This window comes from Homo sapiens, chromosome 15 (genome assembly GCF_000001405.40).
Source record: "Homo sapiens chromosome 15, GRCh38.p14 Primary Assembly".
Taxonomy (NCBI): Eukaryota; Metazoa; Chordata; class Mammalia; order Primates; family Hominidae; genus Homo; species Homo sapiens.
Window position 1 is genome coordinate 71,530,432 of NC_000015.10, and position 17,695 is coordinate 71,548,126.

The 17,695-nt window shown below is 41.5% G+C and overlaps 1 protein-coding gene across 9 annotated transcripts in view; it reads left to right on the top strand.

The window, feature by feature from the left end:
- THSD4 (thrombospondin type 1 domain containing 4) overlaps positions 1–17,695 on the top strand; it is a 686,490-nt gene that overhangs the window by 433,538 nt on the left and 235,257 nt on the right. For 2 of the 9 annotated variants that reach the window (XM_017022584.2, NM_001286429.2), the window contains exon 1: positions 16,805–17,050. The exons of the other annotated variants lie outside the window; for them this stretch is intronic. In XM_017022584.2, the coding sequence (XP_016878073.1) occupies positions 16,979–17,050 (72 nt within the window). In that variant the 5' untranslated portion in view covers positions 16,805–16,978. Of the gene's footprint in view, positions 1–16,804; positions 17,051–17,695 lie in introns of those variants that run through there. 9 annotated transcript variants of the gene reach the window in all.

Here is a 17,695-nt window from a genome sequence, read left to right on the forward strand (position 1 = left end):
GTCAGATGTAACTTTAGTGATTCTTCATTGAGGAGGCCAAGCAGTGGTTTTTGGGTGTGAGTTTTTATGACACACTACTTATTTGGGGCTAAATATGACATGCCCACGTATTTAAAAGCCCCAATCATTCATTATCCAGCACAAAGATGGTAATATACACATCTATTTAATATGGTATCAGCTGACATCTCAGTGATTTGAGGAACTTTAGAAAGGATCTGTCCTCCAAAATATCTCCTCATCCAGTTTGCCTTGATTAAGGAATCTCACCCTGAAGAGATGTATCCCTTAGGGTCAGTGGAGTGTTTGCTCTCTTTCACTCATATGGTCACCAGAAAACATGGGTTGATACCTACTGTGTACCAAGCCCCCGAAAAAAAAAATCTTTGCCTCTGCCTTCAGGAATCTTACTGTCTACTTGAAGAGATTATTACATGAGAAATCTGTGCTGTGGATGAGGAAGGGGGTCTAGAAAGTGAAGTACAGGGGCTTAGAGAGAAATTAAATGGGGGGCGGGGGCATTGACGGGGATAGGGGCAGGGGTGCTAACTTAGATTTTGAGTCAGAATGCCTCTCTGGAAGAATGTGCTTCTATCAGAGACCTGAAGGAGTGGTCCTTGGCCAGGCAAAAGAAGGGATGAGTTTAGAGCCATAGGAAAAAATGAGTGAACATTTGAGGCAGGAAGGAGCTAGGAGCTAGAGGGAGACCAGAGGGTCATAAGGAAGGGGCTGGGGAGTGTGGGATGGGGCTAGATCCTGCTGGGCTTCTGGGCCTGGCTAAGGACTTCTTAAATTCAGACCTAAGGACTTCCTCATTCATCCTACAGGCAATAGGAAACGCCTGAAGTAATAAAAGAATGACCTGTTTCCGCTCTTGTTTTAAAATATCATTCTACTCAAGATGTGGAAATTGTGTTGGAAATAGACAAGGTAGAAGCCCAGAGATCAGTTAGGAAGTGACTGAAAAAAATCCCGGGAGGTGCAAGGCCTTGAACTTGTGGACACATGAAAATGGATAGAAGTGGGTGAATTCAAGACACATTTCAAAAATGCAGTCAGTAAGATTCTTCTACTGCATTGTGGTTAAGCACCTCGGCTGTGGAGACAGACGCCCTGGGTTTGAATCCCTGCTTTGCTGCAGACTTGTCATGTGATCATGAGCAAGTCACTTAACTTTTCCAAGCCTTGACCTGACCTGTCCACTGGGCATGTTATTTAAAACAGAGAATACACTCGTGGTCTCTTAACACAGTGCCTAGTGGCACAGATCAAGCACTCATTAAATGTTGTTCTTTTGTTGAAATGCAGGGAGAGGTAACACTACAATTCAGTTATCACTTAATTAGCTCTTTGTTCTGAGTTAGTCTCCCCGATATTTTCCAGCTGCCAAATAAGAGAAGCAGAAACTGGGCAGAAGACGCCTGAATTCTGGGTGGAGGAAGACCAGGGCTGCATTAGAATCCCTTGTGAACTTGAAAACCATCAGTGTGTCCCCCTCTTCATGTTCCTCTTCTCCAGCTCACCCATAACCCCAGTCTTAAGCTTTTACTGCAAGGTCAGTTTTTCCAGTTTTTTCCCGTACTTTCTCCAAGTCCTCAGAAATTTCTGTAAGTCCTGCAGCCTAAAATACAGTCCAAGCCATGCTGAGGAGTAAGTAAGGTTACACTGTTGTGTTAATCTGCCATGAGCAGACATGCAACGGTGGTCACTGGGACCTTTGGTGCTTATTCTATAGCCTTGGCCTAGAGGGAAGAGAGACATGACCCAGAAGGGTAACAGCCGTCAGCAATGCCAACACTAAACTCTTAGCACTGACTGAAACAACAAAGGGTGAGAGAGAGAGAGAGAGAGAGTGTGTGTGTGTGTGTGTGTGTGTGTGTGTGTGTGTGTGTGTGTGTGTGATGGAGTCTCACTCTGTCACCAGGCTGGATTACAGTGGTGCCATCTCAGCTCACTGCAACCTCTGCCTCCTGGGTTCAAGTGATTCTCCTACCCCAGCCTCCTGAGTAGCTAGGATTACAGGCACATGCTGCCATGCCCAGCAATTTTTTTTTTTTGTATTTTTAGTAGAGACGAGGTTTCACCATGTTGGCCAGGATGGTCTCAATCTCTTGACCTCGCAATCTGCCCGCCTTGGCCTCTCAAACTGCTGGGATTACAGGTGTGAGCCACCACATCCAGCCAGGGTGGAATTACTTAATGTAGAATTTATCTTGCCACATATTTGTTAAACTCTTTCACCAGAGTGTTTGGTGCTGGCTGTTTATAATATAGATGTTTGACAAATCTCTTAAAACATGCAAAGCCATTTTCTTTCTTTCTTTTTTCAGAAAGTAATAATCATCTCTGTTCTATTCGAAGCAGAAAATTATATTTAATTAAGTAAAAATAAGATTAGAGAAGGAGTGTGTTGAAGACCCTTGGAAGAAAACCAATGAGTTGGTTGGCTCTGTCATTTTCCCACTGGTAATATTTTTTCAGCTCCACTGGTGGGAGTTGTAAAGTTTTCCATTTAGGCAGAGAGTGAACACCTTTGGTCATGGAAAGAAAGCCAGTCCTTTTGAGATATTCACTTGCCATGTGTGTGCCTTCTGAAGTATGAGTTGTATTTGCTGAGCAATTGAGTCTTCCCTGGGTTTCTGGGATCAGGTGCCTGCAGTTTGATAAAATAACCTCTAGATGGAGCTTTTGCACCTTTTGGTTGAGCTGGGTTGCCCGTGGGGCAAATCCCCGGTAATCTGAGCAGGATCAAAATAAACTTCGTTACTCCTTCTTATTACGTAAGTATTGTGTGTTTGTGGTGGGAACACTAGGAAATATAGATTTGCAAGTGGGAGAAAATAAAAATCACCGTGCAGAGGTAACCAGCATTACCATGCTGGAGAATAGCCTTCTGATCACTTTTTCTGTGTGTAATGAAAATGGTTTCATCCTCGAAATCCCCTTTTGTAACTTTTTTTCACTTAGTAAATTGTCACATCAATACAGCATACACCAATCAGTGTCACTAAATATTACAACACCTTAGTTTTATAATTAAAGAGTATCTCAGAACATACAGTAAGATGTATTTAACTCAGACCTTGTGATTAAATGTTTACATTATTTAAGATTTTTCACCATTATGAACAATACCAAGATGAAAACTCTTTTTTAGACAAATTTTGGCTCATGTCCACGATTCTCAGAGATGGAACTGGTGTTCGTTGAAAATGTATGCATTATGAAGTCCGCTGATATTGCCTGCTTAGAGCAGGACTCCCACCTGACTAGTAGGAGAAAATTTAATCACAAGGGTCCTTAAAGGTGGAAGAAGACCAAGGCAGATGAGGGAAGGTTGTGAGAAGAACTCAACCTGCCATTGCTAGCTTTGAAGATGAAGGGGAGACCTACTGATCGGGTAGGAGATGTGCTCTAAGTAGGCATTATTGGCAGGCTTAGTAATGCATATATTTTGAACTAAAATAACCCCAATATCATTAGGGGTTATTGGAAATCCAAAGTCTCAGGCCCCATCCCAGACCTACTGATTTAAAATCATGTTAAGATACGAAGTGATTTGTATACACTTTCAGAGACAGGGTCTTGGTCTGTTGCCCTGGCTGGAGTACATCAGCGCGATCCCAGCTCACCACAGCCTCCTGAATAGCTGGGACTGCAGGTGCACACAACACACTTGGCTAGCTTTTCAATTTTGTTGTAGAGACAGAGTCTCACTATGTTGCCCGTGCTGGTCTCTAACTCCTGGGCTCAAGCAATCCTCCCACCTCAGCCTCCCAAAGTGCTAGGATTATAGGCATGAGCCACAGTGCCTGGCCAAAGCCCAACTCTTAAAGCACCTGTATTCATTTGCAGTCTCAACCCTGTGTCAGACTACCTGTTTCCCTAGACTCTTGCCAGTAATGGGCATTTATCCTTCATAAAAATTATTTTCCAGATGAACGTAGCAACGTGTTATTTGATTTTGTGTATCTTTGGTTACTATTAATGTTAAATTGGTTTTCGTATTAGAGTCTCATATTGCATTTGTGTATCTTCATTTGTGAACTGCCTATTCATGGTCATTCCCATTTTTATCATTTCACTATTTTTCCAAATGAGAATAATTTTTGTTTTGTTACTATATTTTTCTGCTCACTGTAAAAACAATTAGAAAATAACAAAATTAAAAGAATGTGATACTCACCTTTTATGTTTGCTCAAAATAAAATTATATTAAGGATGGCATTTTATGGCCTACTTTTTAAACAGCATATTAAGATACAATTTATGGCCAGGCACGATGTCCTGTAATCCCAGCACTTTGGTAGGCCAAGGCGGGCGGATCACCTGAGTTCAGGAGTTCGAGACCAACCTGGCCAACATGGTGAAACCCTGTCTCTACTAAACAACAAAAATTAGCCAGGTGTGGTGGTGGGTGTGTGTGTTTGAGGTATGAGAACCACTTGAACCCGGGAGGCAGGGGTTGCAGTGAGCCAAGATTGTTCCCTGAACTCCATCCTGGGTGACAGAGCGAGACTCCGTCTCAAAAAAAACAAACAGAAAAAAACAGGTATAATTTATACATCATCCAATTCACTGATTTCATTTTTTTAGTATATTTATATTCACAGGGTTGTGCAACTCTCACCATAGTATAACTTTAGAACATTTTCATCACTCCCAAAAGTAATCCTATACCCATTAGCAGTCACTCCCTATTTCCGCTCACCCTCCTCGGGCCTGTGAAACAACTAATCTACTCTCTGTCTCCATACATTTGCCTATACTGGACATTTCATATAAATGGAATCATTTAACGAATGGTCTTTTGTGACCGACTTCCTTCACTTAATATATCTTTTCAAGGATCATCCATTTTGTAGCATGTATCGATACTTCGTTGCTTTGTATTGCCAAACTATATTCTGTAGTGCGGATATACCACATTTTATATATATCTGTTCATTAGGTGATGGATATTTGAGTTACGTCCATTTCGGGGGTTGGGCTATCATGAATAATGCTGCTACGAACATGTGGACATATGTTGTCATTTCTCTTAGGTATATATCTAAAATTGGAATTACTGGATCATGTGGTAATTCTACATTTAACTTTTTGATACAGCTGCAGACTTTTCCAAGGCAGCCGCACCATTTTACCTGACCACTAGTAGTATGTAAGATTTCCAGCTTATCCACACCCTTGCCAACATTTGTTATCACCTGTGTATTTGATTAGTGGTTTTGATTTGCATTTCCCTAATGACTCTTGATGTTGAGCATCTTTTTCTGTGCTTATTGACCATTTGTATGTTTTTTCCTGGAGAAATGTCTATTCAAACCTTTTGCCCATTTTTAATTGAGTTTTCATTTTATTATTAAAGTATAAGAATACTTCATAGGTTCTGATACAAGTCTCTTATCAGACATGATTTGTACATTTTTTCTCCCATTCTGTGGATTGCCTTTTCACCAACTTGATGGTATCATTAGCAGCACCAGGGTCTTGAATTTTGATAAAGTCCCATTTATTTATTTTTCCTTTTTCACTTGTGCTTTTGGTGTTACACCTATAAAACCATCACCTAACCCAAGCTCATGAAGTTGCTCCTGTGTTTCCTTCTAAGAGTTTTAAAATCTTAGCTCTTATAGTCAGGTCTATATATTAGTGTCCTATGGCTTTTACAACAAATTAACAAATTTGGTGGCATCAGATAACAAATTTATTATCTTACAGTTCCAGAGATCAGAAGTCCAAAATGGGTCTCACTAGACTGCCATCAAGGTGTTGGCAAAACCGCAGGCCTTGTGGAGGCTTTAGGAAAGGATCCCTACTTCTGGCTCTTTCCAGCTTCTGGAGGCTGCCACATTCCTTGGTTCCCAGGTCCCCTTCATCTTCAAAGCCTGCAATGGCAGGTTGAGTTCCTTTCACAACCTTCCCTCCTCTGCCTGGCCCTTCCACATTTAAGGAACCTTGTGATTAATTGTGCCTACCTTGATAATCTAAAATAATCTCTGTATTTTAAAGTCATCAGAGTAGCCATGTTAATTCCATCTGCCACCTTGTTTTCCCTTTGCTATGTAATGTAACATATTCACAAATTTCAGGGATTAGGACGTGGACATCTTGGTGGAGACATTATTCTGCCTACCATGATCTATGATTTATTTGTTTAATGGACAAGTAAAAATTGTATATATTTATGGTGTGCCACATGATGTTTTGGGTTTATGTACACATTGTGACTGAGTAAATCAAGCTAATTCACTTATGTATTATAAGAACACTTAAAATCTCTCTTAGCAGTTTCCAAGTATATAATATATTATTATTAATTATAGTGACCATGATGTAGAATCTTTGATGTGTTTTGAGTTAATTTGTGTGTGTATGTGGGAGGAAGTAGGGGTCTATCCTCATTCTTTTGCGTGTAGATATCCACTTATCCTGGCACCATTTGTGGAAAAGACTATTCTTCCCTTATTGATGTAGCCTACTTTTGTCTTAAAATGTAACATCAAAATGTTGTTAGTATCAGCAGTCAATGGCATGGTCACTCTAAAGGATTGGATAGGAGTTCACTTTTTGGATATACCATAGTGTATCTAGGACCTCCCCTACGGTTAGACATTGAGTCCAACCTTTCACAGTTAACATTGTCTTTAAGGGTTTTGTGTTTTTAAAAATATATTGTGGACCTGAGCCCTTTCCCACTATAAATGTTGTCAATTATCTTTGAAATCATTCACTTCTTTCCACCATCCCAGTTTAAGCTCTTAGCCCTTTTCATCTGGACTACAGCCATAATCTTCTAACTGGTCTTCCAGCTTCCATTCTTGCCTCCCTCTAATCCCTTCGCCATACAACAGAAGTAGCCTTTGCAAAATGCAAATCTGGTCCTATAACTGCTGCCCTTGCCCTTAAAGTAGATTCTCATTAAGAGAAAGAAAAAATCTCTGCAACATGGCCCCTCCCTTTGTCCTCAGCCCATCTGATACTGGGCTGGCTCCCCCTTGGTTGCTTCTATTCAGCCATACCCCCTTCCTCTCAAGTCATCAGGAAGGCAAGTATTGCTCCTCTCACAAGCCAATCTCTCTAATGAGGACAATCTCCCTATATTACCATATATCTTTCCTTTGTAATTCTTTTCACATTGCAATTCTAAATGTATTTGTTGGGTTTCATTAATGTTGGCATCCTGCACCAGACAAAAAGTTCCGTAATGATAAGAATTGAGTCTGTTTTTCCTGGTTCAAGCAGATGATAAGTACTGATATTTTCAGTAAATGGACAAGTGAAATACATTCTCTACTGTGTATTTGGCTTTAAAAAAATTTTTTTTTATTTTTTTATTTTTATTTTTGAGACAGAGTCTCACTCTGGCCCAGGCTGGAGTGCAATCACAATCACGTGTTCTCGACTCACTGCAACTGCCTCCTAGGTTGAAGTGATTTTCACACCTCACCCTCCCAAGTAGCTGGGTTTACAGGTACATGCCACCATGCCCAGCTAATTTTTGTATTTTTAGTAGGGATGAGGTTTCACCATGTTCAGGCTGGTCTTGAACTCCTGACCTCAACTGATCCACCTACCTCGGCCTTCCAAAGTGCTGGGATTACAGACATGAGCCACCGTGCCCAGCCTATTTGTCTTTTAATTCTGTTTATGATATTTTCAACTTACAGAATTTTAAAATATATATACAAATATATAAATATTTTCTTTTGTGTTTTTGTCTTCATTATAGCTCTGCTTAAAAATCCTTCCCCACATTAAGAATATAGAAATATAGACACATTTCCTTTTACAGTTTTCATACTTCCGTTGTTTGCATAAAACCTATAATCCACCTGCAATTTATTTTGTCATTGATATAAATTAGAGAAATAACTTTACTCCTCAAGTGGCTGGCCACATTCCCAACCCTTTGCCTTCCTTTCCTTGATGATTTGAAGTGACTCATTGATTGCACACGAAATCCCTCTACATGTTTAGTCAGGTAAATGATCTGTCTCTTCTGTCGCTGGTTGTTTTTGCCACTGTTTTCATTATTACGGCTTCGTGCTATGTTTTAGTATCTGACAGTTACCTTTTGTAAGAAAATAAGATTTCATAAAATAATACTTTGTGCAATTTGAATTAAGGTTTTCTAGACAGATAATTATTGCTTGAAGCAGTGGTTCCCAAACCAGCAGGCATCCACAGGGCTTGTTATAACACAAATCAATGGGCTTAACCCCCAGAGTTCCTAATTCATAAGTCTGGGATGAGGCCTGATAGTTGCATTTTAAAACAAGTTCCCTGATGATGCTGATCCAGGGACCATAGTTGAGAACCTCTGCCTTAGAGCAAATACTTGAAACAAAGAATACAGTCAACATGAGAATGGTTCCAATGCATTGTCTGAACTAGCTCCCCTGTGTGCTGTAAGAGTTAGGATGGGCCTGTATGGTTTTTTTGAGCATCTCCCTGATTGTGTCTCTGGCCCTTCTCCTGGCCCCACTTTAAATCCCTGAGCCCAGTTGAGCCAAGTAACATAACCCTCCTTTCAGTGAACCTGCAAGGTGCTCAGCCTAACTGCATGGCTGCCCTGATAGTTACAAGTGCTGATCCAGCCAGGCTTTGGCCCCTTTCAGATAGAAATCAGAGAAGGGTAAGGATGCAGTGACTTGCTTTGTTGTAGATTCTCATGATTGTCCTTATCTTTGAAGAGAAGGGAGAGCAATCACCAGAAATGCAGCAGAGAACTCTTCTTTGCTTTCCTCATTTCCCACCTCTGTGGCTCTTTAATGGCTTCTTGGTTTTGTACAAAGGGAGAGTTAATTACTAACACCTGCTTCTGCTTCTCCTTTCCTGCATGGCCAGCTCCCTGACTGATAGCCAGCTGCTTTCTTGACAAGAGACTTTTTCCACCTATTCCACACAATGTCAGCATATGTAAAGAAATAAACATAGTTTGAACACTTTAGCCATACCATATGGACCTCTGTGGAGAAACCTGCATCTTCCTTCTTCCTTCATAAAGAATACACATTCTTTGCAGGAGGTAAAATAGCCTTAGAGGTGACATCTGCTATGGTTTACTCTTCTTTATTAGTAAGAGGTAGTGCACAATTATATTTTACATGGGATGTGTGGTTTTAGGCATCATATGTTCATTTTCCGTATTTTTTGATACTCTCGTTTGTACCACTAACATTTTCTCTTTTTAGGTCACCCAAAAGTTAGGTTGAAATTATTTGAATTTCCTTGAGGAATATACCTTCTGGGAATTTCTCCTCTGCGTTTTCTGTTTTCTGGTATCTAAGATGAACCATTAGAAGACCTCCCGTCATAAGCAGATTAGAGTTTGCTATAAAGCCCTCCTTTGCATCCGTTCTCTTGTTTGGCATTCATTGAATCAGGCTATCTGTGTGCTGACTCTTGGGGCCACAGAGAAAAAGATGCATCTCTTGTTATGGAGGGCTCACTCTGTATTGATGAAGACAACACATTAATTAACAATTACAACACATCATGATAAATATTACACTGGAGATAATCAGAGGATATCTGGAGACAGAAGCCAGGGCAGTGCCCTCAGCTTGACAGGGAGCCTGATGAGATATAACTCCTAGAAAAAGTGACATTTAAGGGAATCATTGGGAGCAAGGAGGACTTGTGCATGGCTTCATTTCTCTTCTTAACTATTATTACAACCATTATTTCATTTTATTTACTTTTTTTTTTTTTTTTTTTTGAGATGGAGTCTAGCTCTGTCGCCCAGGTTGGAGTGCAGTGGTGTGATCTTGGCTCACTGCAACCTCTGCCTCCTGGGTTCAAGCGATTCTCCTGCCTCAGCCTCCCGAGTAACTGGGATTATAGGCATGCACCACCACGCCCGGCTAATTTTTATATTTTTAGTAGAGACGGGGTTTCACCATGTTGGTCAGGCTGGTCTCGAACTCCTGACCTCATGATCCACCTGCCTCAGGCTCCCAAAGTGCTGGGATTACAGGCCTGAGCCACTGCACCTGGCCGCCTTTTTTTTTTTTTTAAACGAGTCTCTGTCACCCAGGCTGGAGTGCAGTGGCAGGATCTTGGCTCACTGCAACCTCTAACTCCTGGGTTCAAGTGATTCTCTTGTCTCAGCCTCCCGAGTAGATGGGATTACAAGCACGTGCCACCACACTCAGCTAATTTTTGTATTTTTAGTAGAGATGGGGTTTCACCATGTTGGTCAGGCTGGTCTCGAACTCCTGACCTCATGATCCACCTGCCTCAGGCTCCCAAAGTGCTGGGATTACAGGCATGAGCCACTGCACCTGGCCTCCTTTTTTTTTTTTTTTTTAAACGAGTCTCTGTCACCCAGGCTGGAGTGCAGTGGCAGGATCTTGGCTCACTGCAACCTCTAACTCCTGGGTTCAAGTGATTCTCCTGTCTCAGCCTCCCGAGTAGATGGGATTACAAGCACGTGCCACCACACTCAGCTAATGTTCGTAATTTTAGTAGAGATGGGGTTTCACCATGTTGGCCAGGCTGGTCTCGAACTCCTGACCTCAAGTGATCCACCCACCTCAGCCTCCCAAAGTGCTGCGATTACCAGCGTGAGCCACTGCGCCCAGCCTCATTTTATTTACTTTTTGAATAGCAATACATTCACATGTTTGACAGTTCAATAAGTATGAAAGGGTATATAGAAATGCTGTCCACCAGTGTGGCTATTTTTCTAATAGCCACATTTTAAAAAGTAAAATGAAACAAGTGAAATTAATTTTAATACTATATTTTTTTAACCCAACATATTCAAAATATTATTTCAACATCAACCCAACATAAAAATATATGAATGAGATATTTTACATTCTTTTGCTTATACCAAGTTTTCAAATTGTATGAAGTGCATTTTACACTTACAGGATATTACAATTTGGAATAGCCGCATTTCCAGTGCTCAGTATTTGTGCATGGCTAAGTGGCTGCAGTATGAGACAGCACAGATGTATAATAATAAATTTTCCTCGCATTTCTGTCCTGAAGCAACTCAGTTTCCCTCCCTAGAGGTAACCATTGTTGGTAGTCTCCAGTGTGTTCTTCCACAGATAGCACATAGACAAGCAATTATAAACATGCATATGCAAATAATAGGATGGTAATCACACCTCTGAGCATCTTACTTTTTTCACTCAATAAATCTTGGATATGTTTCATATCATTACATAGGAAGCAAACTCAATTTTTTGTTGTTGTTGCTTCAGGGTACCTCATTTTATGGATGTCACAAATTATTCAATTAGTCTCTATTGATGGGCATTTAGGTGGTTTCCAATATTTGGTGCTTATGAACAATTTGGGCTAAGTTTTTAGAGACAAAAAGCAACAGGAGCTAGCTCAGTGAGGATGGGGGAATGACCTTTCTAGAGAAAGGGAGTACCAGGAAAGAAGGTATGGAGCACAAGGACACATGGTATTTGAGATAATTTCTTGTGGCTTAAGATGGCTGGAGAATGAAGTGTGTGTGAACACAAGACAGGAGGAGGAGGCTGGAAGGGCAGGAAGAGAACGTATTGCAAACAGTCTTGTAATTGTCATATGAAGGGATTTGGACTTCATCCCAAAGGACACTCATCAAAAGATTTTAAGGAGCAGAGGAGTAAAAATAAATGTTTGAATTAATAAATATATGGAGGAGGCGGGACAAATCATCCATACTGCTGAATTCTGGTTAAATGCAGAAGGCATGAGAGAAACAGAAAATCACCATTAGAACACTGCAGTAATAATTACTGCAGGCAAGATCTACAGATGAGTATTAAAATTAGCAGAGAAAACAGGACATTTGCATAGCCTCAAAGTATCTCCTCTAAAATATTTATGAATTTGTGATGGTTTTAACATATGTTGGAATATTCTTTGATACTCCCCCTCCAGGAAGGAGATCTTAATTCTATGGGATTTACTGATTCATTTCTAATGAATAGGCTATGGAAAAGGAAAAATACTATCTTTACAGTGGAGAAACCTGGCAGATACCACCTGAACCACATGGTCAAGGTTAACATCATCAGTGGTAAGTCATATTGAAATAGAATACCCCTGACGAATGTGATAAGAAGGGCATTTTGCTTCTATAGTATTCTTCGTAAAAACTCATTAACCCCTGTCTAATCATGAAAAAAACGTTAGAAAAAAACAAATTGGGCCGGGCACAGTGTCTCACGCCTGTAATCCCAGCACTTTGGGAGGCCGAGGTAGGCGGATCATGAGGTCAGGAGATGGAGACCATCCTGGCTAAGATGGTGAAACCCCATCTCTACTAAAGATACAAAAGATTAGCTGGGTATGGTGGCGGGCACTTGTAGTCCCAGCTACTCGGGACGCTGAGGCAGGAGAATGGCGTGAACCCGGGAGGCGGAGCTTGCAGTGAGCCGAGATTGTGCCACTGCACTCCAGCCTGGGCAACAGAGCAAGACTCTGTCTCAAAAAAAAAAACAAAAAAACAAAAAAAACAAATTGAAGGATAATCTAAAAAGTACCTAAGCAGTAGTCCTGAAGAGCATCAAGGTCATGAAAAACAAAGAAAGGCTGAGAAATGGTCACAGACCAGGAGAGACCACAGAAATGTGATGACTAAATGTAATTGTGGTCTCCTGGATTGGGTCCTGGAATAGAAAAAGTACATTTTGGAGAAAAACTGGGGAAATGTGAGTCTGTAGTTTAGTTAATATTATTGTGCCAATGTTAACATCTTAGTTTTCATAAATGTATCATAGTTATGTAAGATGTTAACATTGTGAAGAGATGCCATGATATTCTGTGCTGTCTTTGCAATTTTTCTGTAAACCTAAAGTTATTTCAAAAGAAAAAAGTTAGAAAAAAATCAGGAGAGTGACATGATTGGAGTCACATTTTAGAAGATCCCAGTGGCTGCACTGGGAAAGAGGCCTGGAAGGAGAAGAGAACAGAACAAGAAGGTTGCTACATAAAGTCAAGAAGAGATGATGGAGGGCTGGATGGGAGCAGGGCAGCAGGAATGTGGGGCCATAGACCTGTTGGGGAGCTCTCTAGAAGGAAACTCAATCAGACCCAATGATGGTTTGGATGAAAAAGCGAGGGAGTGGGAAGACCCTGTTGTCAGCCCCTGGGAATTATATGGATAATGATGTCATTTACTGAGATGGAGGAAACAGGAGGAAGAACAGGTTTCAGGGAAACACTAGCTCAGTTTTAGACCTGTTGAATTTGGAGTACATTTGAGGAATGCAAGTATCCATTAGGCAACTGGGTATATCGACCTACAGGTCAGGAGGGAGACCTGGCTACAGATGGTTGTAGAGAATCACAGATGTGGGCCGGGTGTGGTGGCTCATACCTGTAATCCCAGCACTTTGGCAGGCCAAGGCAGGTGGATCACCTGAGGTTGGGAGTTCGAGACCTGCCTGACCAACATGGAGAAACCCTGTCTCTACTAAAAAATACAAAATTAGCCAGGCATGGTGGTGCAAGCCTGTAATCCCAGCTACTCGGGAGGCTGAGGCAGGAGAATTGTTTGAACACAGGAGGCAGAGGTTGCAATGAGCTGAGGTTGCACCATTGCACTCCAGCCTGGGCAACAAGAATGAAACTCCATCTCAAAAAATAAAAATAAAAAAAGAGTCATGGATGTGTAAAGCATTGGGGCCATTGGAAGGATAGGATGGCCCAACAAGGGCAGATAGAGAGGAGACAGGGCCTAGAATATAGGAATTTAGGAGCTAGGCCCAGGGTGTGTCAAGGAGTCCAGAGCAATGGTAACAAGGCAGTGCTGTCATTAAGAGTCAGGCTCTGGACAAAGGCTTTTAGGGTCAGAATGCCGACTGCCACCTACCGCTGTGTGACATGGAGCAAATTATTTAATAAGACTGTTGTCATGGTTACATGAAACTATTTTAAAAGTTTTTAAAATAATTTTAGTAATACTGGGCTCATAGTGCTCAACGAATGTTGGCTGATTAGAGGCAAAGGAAATCTAGAGCCATAGCCCTGGAAGCTATGGAAAGAGAGTGGTTCAAACAGGAGGACATACGTTTCACACCCATTAAGATGGTTATTGTCAAAAAAGTGGAAAATAATAAGTGTTGTCAAGGAGGTAGAGAAATTGAACCTTCATGCATTGCTGGTGAGAATGCAAAATGGTGTCACCACTATGGAGAACAGTTTGGTAGCTTCTCAAAAAGTTAAACATAGAATTACCGTATGATTCAGTGATTCTACTCCTAGATATATATCTAAAAGAATTGAAAGCAGGGATTCAAACAGATACTTGTACAGCCATGGTCATAGAAGCATTATGCGTAACAGCCAAATGGTAGAAACAATCCAAGTGTCCATTAACAGATGGATGAATGAACAAAATGTGGTATATCCATACAATGGATATTGCTTAACCTTAAAAAGGAATGAAGTTTTGATACCTGTTACAGAGTGGATGAACCTTGGGAACATGCTCTGTGAAATAAGTCAGACACAAAAGGACAAATACTGTAGTGTATGATTCCACTTATATGAAGTACCTAGACCAGGAAAACTCATGGAGACAGACAGTAGCATAGAGGTTGCCAGGGGCTTGGAGGAGGGGAAATGGAGAGGTAGTGTTCAGTGAATACAGAGTTTCTGTTTGGGATAATGGAAAAGTTCTAGAAATGAATAGTGGTGATGGCTGCACAACATTGTGAATGTACTTAACGCCACTCAATTGTATACTTAGTAATGGCCAAAATGATAAATTTATGTTGTCTATATGTTACCACAATATTAAAAGGAGGACATGGTTACAGAGAAGTAAATGAGTTCTTAGTGATTCTCTTTTGAATTTTGTGACACAGGGGCCATTGGTGACCTTTCCAGAGCCCTTGCAGTAGAGCAGACAGGTCAAAAGATTGCAGTGGATTGAAGGGTGATTGAGAAGTGTCTAGACCAGGGGCTGGCAAACTACTGTCAAATCTGGCCGCCTGTCTGTTTTTACAAATAAAGTTTTATTGGAACACAGCTACACCCATTCATGTGTGTGTTGTCTGTGGTTTCCTTTGTGCTATAATGGCGGCGTTGAGTAGTTGCTACTTGAGCCCACGTGGTCTGTAAAACCTAAAATATTTACCATCTGGCCTTTTACAGAAAGTTTCCCAACCCCTGGCTAGACAACACTCCTGGTCTTTCAAGAACTTTGGCTTTCTTAAATAATTCCTGCATTTCTCATGAGGTTACTCGGTAGATAACTTTGCCCCTTTAGTTAGGTAGCAGAACAGAACCAAAGCTGAACAGTAACAATGACTAAGAAGGAGGAAGAGGAAAAATTCATTCCTTTCTTTCCTTAACTGGAGATATTATCCTCACTATACCTTTTTTTCTCTTACAGCCCTGTAAAAAGGAATGAAAGTTCTTCCCTCCCTGTCCCCCACCAAAAAACTCCCCACTGGTAAATGGTCATGTGACTGGTGATAATAAACTTTCTGAGATGGCTACGAACTGCAGTTAGGTTTAAAGTTTCCTCATTAATGCAGGAAAATGCTCATAACCTGAGGCTTTTCAAGTGTTTATTAATTTACTTTCTGGGGCTGGCTGCTGATACTTATTTCAGATCAAAGAGAAAGCCTGTGTCTTTAGTAGTTACTGTGTGCCAGGAACTATGCCACATTTTGTGCCTAGGTGAGCTCATTGATAGTCATCATAACCATAGGATGGCATTTCCCTATTTCACAGGAGGGGAGACTAGGGCTCACCAGGGTTAAATACTCACCCAGAGACACACATGAAGAGTTTGAAGTACAACTGGAGTTTAACCCACACCTGCCTAATTCCAGGACCTCAGGGTGTTTCCACTGCACCGTGCAGTCATCCTATCCTCTGTGGCCACCAAGAGCCTCAGAATAGCACCTTGAGCCCACTCTAGGCAGAATACAGTACTTGATGGGTTCTAATCCATTTTAAACCATGGTCTCTGCTATTTCAGGATAACAGGTGACCATGTAAAGTGTATCTCAAGTGCATTGTAGGCTTTAGGAAGACCCTTTTCCCAGCCTGCTCCCCATGCTCCCAAGCCCCACTTTGATGGTCTATGTGAGTCTACTCAGAGGTAGCTCTTATTTCTTTAAAACCATCCTGCATTTCAGTGTACTCTGACAGCACTGTCTGACACTTGGGATTCACTTGTTCCCATGTTACCACCTATTTTTACATTTTCTGCAATAATTCCTCAAGCTCTTGGTTAGGCATAGTGACCCAGGGATGCAGCAAGAGGGGGATATAATGGCTTCCACAGTTCCCATCCGTTTGTGTCTATACAACTGGTGCACAAACACACATCACCCTTGTGACTTCTGTCCCTGTTGAGGCTGCCCTTGATAATGCAGCTTTTAACTGCCTAGATTTCTGCAACCATCAAATCAGATCTAAAAGGGAACTCAGAAGTCATTCACCCAACCTTTGTATAAGTGAGAAAAATAAACTGCAGCCCAGAGCGGACTGGCAACTTGTCCAGGCAAACACAGCTTGTCAGTCCCAGATCCTGGACTAGGAAGGCCCTGGCTCTCCCCGTTCCCAGCCCGGAGCTCATCCTGCTGCAATTCACTGCCTCCTCCCTGCCTCAGTGGACGAGGTAGGGGCTGTCCCCCTGCATGTGGCGTGCTTACCTTGGAACCCTTTTCATGAATGAGACCAGATGCAGAACTCCACATTGATCATTTCTGTCCCTCCCCTTTCTGCTTTCTGTTAAAGGCAGCCCCCCAGCTCCCAGCTGGCTCCTGTCCCCTCCCCCAGCCGGGAGAAGTTATTACATGAAGAGATCAGCTTACCAGTTTTCTTCAGAACAGAGGCTGAGCTCGAAGCGCCGGGCAGTACAGTGAGGGAGAGCCGAGGGAACCAGCGCGGTGCCTAGCGGAACTCCAGGGCTGGAATCCCGAGACACAAGTGCATCTGCTAGCTGTTAGCACTTGGCAGACGGAGTTCTCCTCTAGGGTAGTTCTAACTTTGGGTAATAATGTTTGTCAGCTACCTGATATTAACATTGCTCCACGTTCAAACAGCAGTGTTAGCAAGACCTGGGGGAGAGGTAAGCCAAATAAAATATCTTGTCAGAAGTTGTATTTTTTTTCAGCATTATATTTCCTCTTCTATCTACCAAGAGGGATCAGGGAATGGAATTTTATGGGGTGCAAAGAGTAATGCTTTATATTACTTTTGTAGGCTTCTCTTGCCTTTTCTTATATGAAGACTTCTTTTCTTCTTGAAGAATTTTATACTTTCTAAAATGTCATTTTGAAGCTGTCTGTGCAGTTGCCACACTGGGAAGTTGCTCTGGCCTTGGTGACAGATGCCTGTAGCACGCACGCTTCTCCTGCTGTAGCAGAAAAAAAAAAAGATGTGCCATGTCAGATTTCGTTAGGGACTGTTACCTTTTGAGAATTTTTCTCCAGTGCTGCAGAGAGAATGTACATGCTAGGGGAATTGCTTTTCTTCCCTGCTTTTGCAACACTTCTCTCTTTTTTTTTTTCTTTGATGTGCTTAGAAAAATCTGTGCTTAACTTTCTATCATAGATTTGAAGAGGGAGAATGATATACAACAGGGCTAGGAGTGTACCCAGATGTACCTTAGCAGGGAGACATATTTTAAGTTCATGAGGATGATTTATTATTACTGGTTTAGTTCATGTGATTGTTGGGTACAGTTTTTTTTTTTTTTTAACATCAGTGATAC